This window comes from Homo sapiens, chromosome 8 (assembly GCF_000001405.40).
Source record: "Homo sapiens chromosome 8, GRCh38.p14 Primary Assembly".
In the NCBI taxonomy this organism is placed as follows: Eukaryota; Metazoa; Chordata; class Mammalia; order Primates; family Hominidae; genus Homo; species Homo sapiens.
The window spans coordinates 74,947,388-74,959,469 of record NC_000008.11 but is presented as its reverse complement, the minus strand read 5'-3'; the positions used below and the strand labels follow the sequence as shown (position 1 = coordinate 74,959,469).

General features: G+C 36.3%; 1 annotated feature.

The window, feature by feature from the left end:
• Positions 11,083–11,720: an enhancer, noted in NCBI's record as "H3K27ac-H3K4me1 hESC enhancer chr8:75859985-75860622 (GRCh37/hg19 assembly coordinates)". NCBI's record gives its function as "activates a minimal SCP1, AML or CMV promoter by ChIP-STARR-seq in primed H9 embryonic stem cells {active_cell/tissue: H9 hESC(primed)}" and the evidence as "EXISTENCE:reporter gene assay evidence [ECO:0000049][PMID:30033119]".

Genomic DNA, 12,082 nt, shown 5'->3' with positions numbered 1-12,082 from the left:
TACACCTCAAGAAAATTGTCACATAAGAATTATTTTAATTTGTAGTTAAACTAACGAATCCTGCATGTAGATGTACTTATCCAGCAATGAACACTAACAAAGAATCTGTAAACTATCCTTTTCACTCATGACCAGTATAAATACAGCTTGCAGTATCTTTTACCTGCTGCACAAACATCCACAGATTCAAGCCAAAATCATATACTAACATACTTTTCTCATCATTGCTTTTCATGTTCACGTATTTCCAAAGCCTATTTGTTGTCCTTTCCTAAATTACTCATCAAATTTAGGGAATTGTTTTGACAACATGTGCATTTAGGAAAAATTTTAGAGTTTTGAAAAAAATAACTAGACCCATAAATTTACTAGGTAGGCACTGGAGTAATGCTTTACCTCTTCAACAGAGAGAAGCAAGAAATTTACAATAGAAAATGTGTTGCACATTTTTTTCAAAAAGACAGGGACCGGGTGCGATCTCACTATTGCAGCACCATATATTAACATTTGCCATTAACGTGTATATATATATATATTATTGCAGCACCATATATTAACATTTGCCATTAACGTGTATATATATATATGGCAAATTCTCTTTTTCTCTTTGTGAAGAAAGAAGTTAGAACACTTTGACCCTGTTAGATTGAGAATTGCCTCCCTTACATAAAGACAATTAGGTTGCCTTGGTTTGCTTCAATCCATGGAAGAAAAGTCCTATCAGTCCACTCTCTTTGGTCAATAAAAGGCACCTCTTGCTTTTAGGTTGAGAGATGATAATGAGAGCAATTGGAATGGGGCCACACATGGTAAATCAACAGGCAGCCGTAGAACCACTATTTTTTCACTGCTGTGATCCCAATCAGAGTAAGTACAAATTTGAAGTATTACAAAGGCATGCCCTTGGCAGAAAATATGGACACAATAAGCTTCTTTGTGCTACAAATATGACATTTTCTTACATAAAATTGTCACCATCTGCTTACCTCACAGGTATTAAATGATGGGATGGTGTGATTGAAAAGCTTGTATTGCTAAAAAGCTTTGAAGACTTCTGCTTCATTCTTCATGTTGATATCTTTAATCATTTAATTTTCCAAGCTATGTTTAAATAAGGTATTCTTTTCCCAAATTATATGAAGAGATCACTAGCTTCAGATTTTAGAGCATTTTTTAAAATCTTTTTTTATTTTATTTTTTTATGAGACGAAGTCTCGCTCTGTTGCTCAGGCTGGAGTTTAGTGGCCCATCTCAGCTCACTGCAAGCTCCGCCTCCCGGGTTTACGCCATTCTCCTGCCTCAGCCTCCCAAGTAGCTGGGACTGCAGGTGCCCACCACTGCGCCCGGCTAATTTTTTATACTTTTAGTAGAAACGGGGTTTCACCGTGTTAGCCAGGATAGTCTCGATCTCCCGACCTAGTGATCCGCCCGCCTTGGCCTCCCAAAGTGCTGGGATTATAGGCGTGAGCCACCGCGCCCAGCCCGAGAATCTTTGAGCAAATAAATTTTTGTTTAACAAATCTCAGGTTTGGGATAGAGTTAGAGTGGACTTCACCATGTGAACTGATCTATTATAGAACTTGCATATTATATAAAGAACCATGCATTGTCACTTTTTAATATATTTTGAAATGTATCAAACTAAAACTATTTTTTTTTTCGGCTAATTTTCAAACAGCCTGTAGAAATATATTCAAGAGACTACAGGAATAGTGATTTTGGCCCTGATTCATTTACTTCTTCAACAAATATTTACTGAGCATCTCCTCAGCTGATGAGTATTTGCCTTTCAGATTTGGTACTGCTATGTTGACACCAATTCTCTCACATTCATATGAAATGTAATGAGTTGTTTTCTGCTTCCACAGTGATTAGGAAGATTTTCATGTTCTGTTTATTATTGCCTTACCTTAAGGAATGAGAAAGGGAGAGTAGGAGTCAAGTTGTTATGAGGAATGCCCAAATAAATACTATTTATAATTGTCTCATTTAGGAAGAAGTCTAAACATGATTTAGTTCAGAATGTGTTGTTTTTAATAATTTTGTGTACATCATAGAGAACTGGCAATGGAATTGCTTTACTTTCTGGTCATAAATTCAGAAATTGAAGGAAAAGGAAAAAAAGTAGAATTTGTAAATAAGCAAATCAATTACAAAGTAGACAATTTTAGTGGAATCACGAAGGTCTAAAATTGGCTGAAAAGGTAGAGTATTTTAATAGCAAAGTGACTATAGGAGAAACTAAGGCTGTTGCCAAATACCTACCACTCCATGTCCACATAAAACATTGAGTCAAGATGACTTTAATGTAAAATTCTTTCAAACCTTCAAGGAATTCATGTTTATAACCTATTTTAAATGATCTGCAGAAAATAGAATAAATGTTTTTCTGAAGAAGTGCTGAGAAAACATAATAGAAATGCCTTAAAAATATATAAAGGAAGGAAAATAAACATGGAAAAATTAAGAACAATAGGTCAATATCATTGAAAATTTGAAAATCAAAATCAAAAATGTTATTTAGAAAACTGAATTCAGCAATATATTAAAGTAATTGTTCAGAACGGCCAGGAAAGTTTTATTCTAAAAGCTCGGTATGATTGGACATTGGATAATCTATGGATATAATTTGTTACAGAATAAGACAGTTTAAAAATTATATGATAATCTTGATATATTTCAAAAAGTTATTTCATAGATCTTCAGGTTGATTTTAGATTTATAAAGTTATTGATGGAATAAGAATTAAAGAGTGGTTTAGAAAATCCTACATATTTCAAACGAACAATCGAGATTTTGTTTAGGAGTTTAGATTAGTGTCATTTTGATTAAAATGGTGAAATAATTGGGATATGGTCATTGCTGTTACAGCCCCCAAATCTTAGTGGTTTATTCAACAAAAGTTGCTCACACTACTTTTCTATATGAGAGTTCTTGTTCTGGCAGTTCTGCTGGGCAGCTCTCCTCTAAGTGTTGACTCAAGATTCACTCTTTTTTTTATTTTGGCCTCAATATTCACCAAGGAATCAGAACTTTTGACCACTAGCTTCACATGGGAACAGAGAAAGTAAGGAAGATTACTTGGGAAGTTCCTAGGGAACAGGCTTGGGAGTGGTGTACATTACTTCTGCCCACATCCCATCCACTTCTATGGTCCCACCTTTGTGCAAAAGGGAATGGAAAACGTAGTCTAGCTGCATACTGAGAAGGAAAAGAAACTAGGGTTTGGGAGGTGCCTAGAAGTCTCTTCTCTAATGAGAAATAAACCAAGGCTGCCTTGGTTTATTTCACGACTTTGTATCATCATTCCAGAAATGATAGCTAATACAACATCTGATATAGTCACAGGTGGTAAAAATATTGGTAAAAGGTAGGAAAAATTGTGATTATTTACTGATGACTCCATATTACAAAGACAAAAGAATCAACTGAAATGCTGTTAGAAATTACGGCAGTTCAGTAAGTTTACTAGTCAAAAAATAATTGTAGAAAATCCAATCATTTTCTGATATAACAATAATAATTTAATAGTATAATGGCAAACATTTAGGAATGCACATGAAAAGAAATCCTTAGGCCAGACACGGTGGTTCACATCTGAAATCCCAGCACTTTGGGAGGCCACTGAAGGCAGATTACTTGGGTCCAGGAGTTCAAGAATGGCCTGGTCAACATGGTGAAACCCTGTCTCTTTAAAATAAAAAAATAAAATAAAAGAAATATTTGAGGCTTACAGCAGTAAGCCTTCAAAATTATACAAAAGCATGAGAGAAACCTTGAATCAGTGAAGAGACATGTTTCTCTAAATGAATATTTTATATACTAAACAGAACTATATTCCCTTAATTTAAACTATAAATTTAAATGCAACATTCAGAAAATTCTCATAATTTTAAATTTTATGATATAGTTTTAGAATTTTATGTGAAAGCACAAATATGTGAAAATTTTGAAAAAAGTTGGCAAACGAATATAAGTTTGCTATATCAGGCATTAGAATATATTCTAAAGCTGTAATATTCCAAGTGATGTATTATGGGCACCAGAGAACAGAACAAAAATGTTTTTAAAATATGAACACTAAAATAACTGTAAAATGTGAGATTGATGCTGGCAGGGGAAATTAGAGAGAAAAAAATCAGTTTTTGAAAAAATACTTTTTATTTGAAAAAATCAGTAAGGTCAAGTCACAATTTTAAATAACATATCAAAATATATTTCCTGTTAAAGAATTAAAGATATCATACAGTCAGTAAAAGTAGAATTCAATATTGTATACTAGGAAAGGTATTTTTAAGGACAATGCCAAAGTTAGAATCCATCTACAGATTTATTTATTTATTTTTTATTCCACAAATATTCACTCAGTGCCAAATATACACTGGACATTAATGACCAGTGGTGAACTATTTTTTTGTGTTTTTACAATGTAAATCATTACACAAATAATTAATGAAACTGTGAATGTCAATATGAAGGATAATGATGGGAAAATAGAAGAATGTGTAACATGAGGAAACAATCTACTTTGGAGTGTTAGGGAATAGTTCCTTGCAGCAGTGACATCAAAGATTAACTCAAAAGATAAATAGAATTTAGGCAGGCTATTGTGTGAACATAAATTCAAGATCGGCATGAGGGGAAGTGGGTAGAATTGCAGGTGAAATATGAAGATTTTAACTATGGTAATGATTGGTAGTGGCTGGAGAGATGGAGAGAGTAATTAGATTCACTATCTATTTTAGAGGAAGAATCCACCTACTAATGGTCACAGTAATGAATTAGATAATGGAAAAGAGAGGAAAATGTAAAAGATGACTCCTACACTTCAGATGACAACCATGTGTTGGCTTAAGGTCCCATTTCCTGACATAAAATATTCTGGAGGAGGAATTATTTCCATTAATGGGAGGTCAGGAGTTGAACTCTGAACATTTGAATTGAAGATCCCTATCTTAAATGAGGCATCTAATTAGATGTACTAAGTAGGATGCTAGATGAAAAGGTCTGCAGCTCAAGGTATTCTCACCTAGATTGGTTTCCAGTCTTGGGTATATTCAAATAGAACTGAAGTTTCAGGAATAAATGGCATGGTTTAAGAATAGAAATTTTTTATGGCTGCATAGTATTCCATGGTGTATATGTGCCACATTTTCTTAATCCAGTCTATCATCGTTGGACATTTGGGTTGGTTCCAAGTCTTTGCTATTGTGAATAGTGCCGCAATAAACATACGTGTGCATGTGTCTTTATAGCAGCATGATTTATAGTCCTTTGGGGGGAGGGGGGAGGGATAGCATTAGGAGATATACCTAATGCTAAATGAGGAGTTAATGGGTGCAGCACACCAGCATGGCACATGTATACATATGTAACTAACCTGCACATTGTGCACATGTGCCCTAAAACTTAAAGTATAATAATAATAAAAAATTAAAAAATTAAAAAAATAATAGAAATTTGAGAAGTATCAACAGTGTGTAAGGAAAATGAGAAGGAATAATGTCTATGACTCAATGCAGAGGAACGTCACCATTTAAATATCATGTAATGTGATTGCAAGATTAAGACTTTTGTACTTCTGAGACTTCAGCATGAGAACTTTATACATTCTAAGATAGAGAAATAAAAGGCTTAAGAAAGGAAAGAACAATATTCCATTTGGTTTTACTATTTCTCTTTTTTGTATTCCATTCTAAGTATGAAGAGAAGGTATTTTTTAAAGAGATGGGGTCTCCCACTGTTGCCCAGGCTGGAGTGAAGGGGTCATAGCTCACGGCAGCCTTGAACTCCTAGGCTCAAGTGATGCCCCTGCCTCCACCTCCCAAGCAGCTAGGACTATAGGTATGCACCACCATGCCTGGCTATTATTTTTTTGGTGGAAGTGAGGGTCTTCCTATGCTGCCCAGGCTAGTCTCAAACTCTTGGCCTCAAGTGATCTCCCATTTCAGCCTCCTGAAGTGCTGGTATTAAAGGTGTGAGTCATGGCACCCAGCCAAGAGATAGTATTTTTGACAAATTGAATGAATAACCCATTTATTCTCTGTAAATTTTGTTGTACAATAGATTTCTACTCATTGAATTAATGACATCCATGACTGCAGGGTTAGATGAATAAAGTCTAAAGCAATAGTTGAGCTAATGTTTCAAATTATATTGCTTTTAAGTTCACAGTCAGATGATCTTAAGTCATGATATGTAAGGTAAGCTTTTTGAATTTAGACAACTTCATTCTCAATAAAAAGCCTCGTCGAAAAAGGAGCAATGCAAAGGAAGTGTCACGTATTTGATTGTTAATTAGTACTGTATATAAATATGTTTACCACAATGCAACATGTTTCTGGAAGAAAATAATGGCTAAAATAATAGCAAATTTTATAACCATCTAATAGATAGAATTTCAGTTTTGCACATTCAAACGTAATTTATATCTACATCATCAAAGCAGCTTTATACACAAAGTATCCTTTTAAAATAACAATCATATATTCAGTCATTCATTTGTTCAGCAAATAATTTGCTAAGTATCTCCTATGTTGTAATAACCATGTCAGGTATTTGAAGTCTTGAGGTATTGATGCAAGAGGAAGTAACATCCAAGCAGAGACCTGCAATTTTAGCAAAATAAGAGCAGATGATGAGGGAAATGGGAATGAGAAGAGTATATCTAGCAAAGAGAATGACTCTTAAGAAGGCTAAGTGGTTAAAGAGGACCATACACTAAAAAAATAAAAACACTAGTGGAAAAAGCATAGAATAAGGCCAGAAAGCCAAGGGCCTTCTCAATTACTTGAAGTAATATGAACTATGTTGTAAGAGTAATTTGGAGCCATTGACTAGATGTTTTCAAAATTTCTTTGAGGTATATTCCACATGTCATAAAATTCACCCACTTCAAGTGTACAATTTAATGATTTTTTTGTAATCTTATCAAATGTAGTGGTGCAACCATCACCACAGCTTAGTTTTAGAATCTTTTATCCACACCCTCCACCCCAGTAAGATCCCTCATGCATAATCACTCCTCATTCCCATCACAACCCCACTAATCTACATTCTTTCTATGTACTTGTCTTTTCAGGATGATTCATGGAAATGAATTTATATAATGTGGTTTCTTGTGCATAGCTTCTTTCATTGAATATAATGTTTTTGAAGTTCATTCATGATGTAATGTGTCAATAATTTAAAGGCAATAATGAAAGGCAATCTAATAAATGTATTTGTTGAATCCCTACTATATGCTAGGTACTATTCTAGTCACTTAGGGATGTATCAATGAATGAAATGGATAACATTAACTTCTCTTGAGAATATTACATTCTAGAAGAAGTGACAGACAATAAATATTTAATGTAAGAAATAATTGGATTATGCAGTATTTGAGGCAAAGATGAAGGCTATGGGGAAAAAAGCATAATTCTGGGAAAGGAAGACTAGTTGTACTGCTCAGGGTGCAAGTTGCAAAGTTAAATAGGGTGAATAAAGTAGACCTCATCAAGAAGATGAAATTTGAGCAAAGAATTTAAAGAGTGAGGGACTAATCTAATGAACATTTGTGGAAAAGAACCAGGTATTGGAAACAATCGGAGAAAATGTCCCAGAGTATGCTGACAGGAGCATCAGAAGGAAGAAGTAGGACATGAATAAGAGAAGTAAAGAGAGGCCTGATAAAGAGGACCCTGTGAATCTTTGTAAGACTTTGGCTTTGCCCCAGGTGAAATGGGAAAACGTTGCAGCATTTTGAAAGAACTAATGTCATGTGGCTTAGATACTAGAAAGGTCCACTCCGGCTGCTGTATAAAAAAAGACTGTTAGTGGAAAAGGATAGACGCTAGAGGATACAGTAGGAAGCAACTGCAGAAATCCAACCCAAAGATAAATGGTGGCTTGGACAAATTTAGCAACAGCAGAGGTGACGAGAAGCAGTCAGATTTGGGATATATTTTAGTGGTAGTGTCAATAGATTTTCCTGGCATTTTAGAGGTAAGATGTGTGAGAAAGAGGAGTCCAGAAGAACTCCAAGGTTTCTGTTCTGAATAATTTCAATGATGAAGTCATCTGAGACTGGGAAAGTGAAAGGTAGAGCAACCCAAGGAGAACATTAGGAGCTCAGTTATAGAAATGCTAAATTTCAGATGTCCCATCCAAATGAAGGCAGTTGGATAGCTAAATCAGTTCAGAAGAGAATTCTAAGATGGAGATACAAATTTTGAGTTTACTAGGTTAGAGGTGACATTTAATACCATTCGTTTGTGAAGAGATCATCAAGACAGAATGCAGATGGAAAAGAGAAGATTACCAAAAAAATAAGCTCTATGGGCATATTACAGGAAGATAATTCCACAGTAGTAAATGTAATCTAGATGGCATGCTCAGTTAATACATTAAAGACTACAGATGCCTCTAGGGAGTTTTTACTCTTAAAGAAGTGAATAACCTAATTTTGAATCATTATAACCAAGATTGATCCCAAAAAGGAAGTCTTTAGCAGGCTGAGGTGATATGAGTTCATTAGGTCTTGGCCAAGGCCCTTTGAAGGGGAGACAAAAATGATAATAAGAGATTGGCCTGATTTATAGGCTGAATACCAGTTGAATAAAGATTATTCCCAAACAATTCTCAAGATGTTGTTACAGATGTGAAAGACTAACTTGTTTTGCATTTCTGCAGACATTTATGAATTAACTAAGTTCTTTAGTTCTTGTAAATATTTTATAATACAGCAATTACAGAAGGACATTCATACAGTGGCATAGGTGTAAAAACATCATTTACGCCAATGCTGTTTTCTTTGGCAGAAATTTTATGAGTTCCATTTTAACTTTAAAGAGTAGAAGTGTATATATGATTAATAATATCTCATAACATTTAATTTTCACCTCCATTTAGTAACCATTGTCATAAATGGGAGCTTTTAACTTTTCTTGGTAATGATTGAAGTCCAAGGGAATCAACTTTTTATTTTTTAGAATTTCACAGGAATTCTAATGATGTAACAACAGAGAAAGACAGAGAGAGACAGAGAGAGAGAGAGAGAGAGAGAGAGAGAGAGAGAGAGAGAGATGAGTGAGAAATTGAAATAGTTTTTTCATCTTCCTACTGCCGGCAAATCCTTTGGCCTTGGTGGGTCCCAACTTGCCTTCACAGAAATGTGTTATTGCAATCACGTGATAATTGGTTTTGTAAGGCGGTCTTGAGGGCACAGGGAGCTAGTAAAGAAGAACAATATATTTTTAGGCTTATTAGATATCTCTTGTGATGCCTTCAGTAAGAGAAACAAGAAAGTCCAGCAGACAGAAAAAATTAGAACCAGACATTTAAAAGGCCTATTCTGACAAATAGATCTGGAGTTGTGGGATTGACAAATAGATTTATTTTCTGAACAATTTGATTTCCTTTTTAAAATCAAAGGGCACATATTGTAACAATGTTTACCTAGATTTGCAAATTCTTGCCTAGGAGTTATCTTGTTCATTCAGCAACATATTATATATTCACATTGGTGTTTTTCAGAGTCCTTCCGGTTTCTCACATCTCTCCGCCAGCTGCTTTTCCCTCACCCCAGGCACAGCTGGTCTATTCATCTGCTTATGTTGATCAAGTTATTGAAAGACATGACCTTAGTTTGCCTTGTGAGACTTATTAGCAGTGGAAATCTGCTTTTGCCTCTGATTTCAGTTTACTCCATTAAAGTGAAAAATGAAAGAACACTGCTTCACTATGCAATTAAAACTGATTTTATTAAAATAGGAAGATTTTCTTTTTATCTTTTTTCCTTCTTTTGAAAAAAGCCTCACCGACTCTATTATTCCCTTCCTTCATTCCTCAAGGGTAACCACAATTCTAACATATAGCCTTGAATCCACGAGTTTTGTCCTTTACATACTTACATATGCATCTAATATGACGCATTTCATCTGTCAAATTTTTTGGAAGTGGCATTGTACTGCAGCCAGCTTTTGTTCACATATTATGTTCTTGATATCTCTCCATGCCAATACCTCCGTATGTATATGTATATAGGTGATTAGTAAATGCTGATAAGGAATTTTTCTAGGATTTGAACAAATTTATCCTCCCACCAGCAACGTATGGGAGTTCCCAGAAATCCATATTATTGAGGTATTTGTTATTACCAGTCCTTTTATTTAACTATTCTGGGGAAAGTGCAGTGGTACGCATTGTGGTTATAACTTGAATTTCACTGATTTTTTTGCACTTTAAAAAACTGAGATAAAATTCACATAACATAAAATTAACCATTTAAAAATATGTCAGTCAGTAGTTCTTAGTATATTTATAAGGTTGTACAATTATCATCAGGATTTAATTCCAGGAAATTTTCATCACCCCAAAAAGAAACACAACACTGTTAGCAGGCACTCCCAATTCCCCCCTCCGGCATACCCTGACAACCACTAATATACTTTCTGTCTCTATGAATTTGCCTATTTTAGACATTTTATGTGAATGTCATTGAACAATGTGTGACCTTTTGTGTCTGGCTCTTTCATTTAGCATAATGCTTTTAAGGCTTTTTTAATACCTGAATAATATTCCATTATATAAACACATCACATTTTATTTATGCATTCATCAGTTGAAGAACATTTGGTTTATTTCCACTTTTTGGAATATCATGAATAATACTGCCATGAACATTTTTGTACAAGTTTTTTTGTGGATATGCTTTGAACCCAATAAGAAATGAAACAATGGCTAGATTATACAATTCAACTTGTATATCAGTAATTACATTAAAAAGTTATTTTAGAAAACTCTATACCTGAGGGAGGAGCCAAAATGGCCGAACAGGAACAGCTCCGGTCTACAGCTCCCAGCGTGAGCGACCCAGAAGACGGGTGATTTCTGCATTTCCATCTGAGGTACCGGGTTCATCTCACTAGGGAGTGCCAGACAGTGGGCGCAGGCCAGTGGGTGCGCGCACCGTGCGCGAGCCGAAGCAGGGTGAGGCATTGCCTCACCTGGGAAGCGCAAGGGGTCAGGGAGTTCCCTTTCCGAGTCAAAGAAAGTGTTGACGGATGCACCTGGAAAAGCGGCTCACTCCCACCCGAATATTGCGCTTTTCAGACCGGCTTAAAAAACGGCAAACCACGAGACTATATCCCACACCTGGCTCGGAGGGTCCTACGCCCACGGAGTCTCGCTGATTGCTAGCACAGCAGTCTGAGATCAAACTGCAAGGCGGCAGCGAGGCTGGGGGAGGGGCGCCCGCCATTGCCCAGGCTTGCTTAGGTAAACAAAGCAGCTGGGAAGCTCCAACTGGGTGGAGCCCACCACAGCTCAAGGAGGCCTGCCTGCCTCTGTAGGCTCCACCTCTGGGGGCAGGGCACAGACAAACAAAAAGACAGCATTAACCTCTGCAGACTTAAATGTCCCTGTCTGACAGCTTTGAAGAGAGCAGTGGTTCTCCCAGCACGCAGCTGGAGATCTGAGAACGGGCAGACTGCCTCCTCAAGTGGGTCCCTGACCCCTGACCCCCGAGCAGCCTAACTGGGAGGCACCCCCCAGCAGGGGCACACTGACACCTCACACAGCAGGGTATTCCAACAGACCTGCAGCTGAGGGTCCTGTGTGTTAGAAGGAAAACCAACAAACAGAAAGGACATCCACACCAAAAACCCATCTGTACATCACCATCATCAAAGACCAAAAGTAGATAAAACCACAAAGATGGGGAAAAAACAGAACAGAAAAACTGGAAACTCTAAAAAGCAGAGCGCCTCTCCTCCTCCAAAGGAACGCAGTTCCTCACCAGCAACGGAACAAAGCTGGATGGAGAATGACTTTGATGAGCTGAGAGAAGAAGGCTTCAGACGATCAAATTACTCTGAGCTACGGGAGGACATTCAAACCAAAGGCAAAGAAGTTGAAAACTTTGAAAAAAATTTAGAAGAATGTATAACTAGAATAACCAATACAGAGAAGTGCTTAAAGGAGCTGATGGAGCTGAAAACCAAGGCTCGAGAACTACGTGAAGAATGCAGAAGCCTCAGGAGCCGATGTGAACAACTGGAAGAAAGGGTATCAGCAATGGAAGATGAAATGAATGAAATGA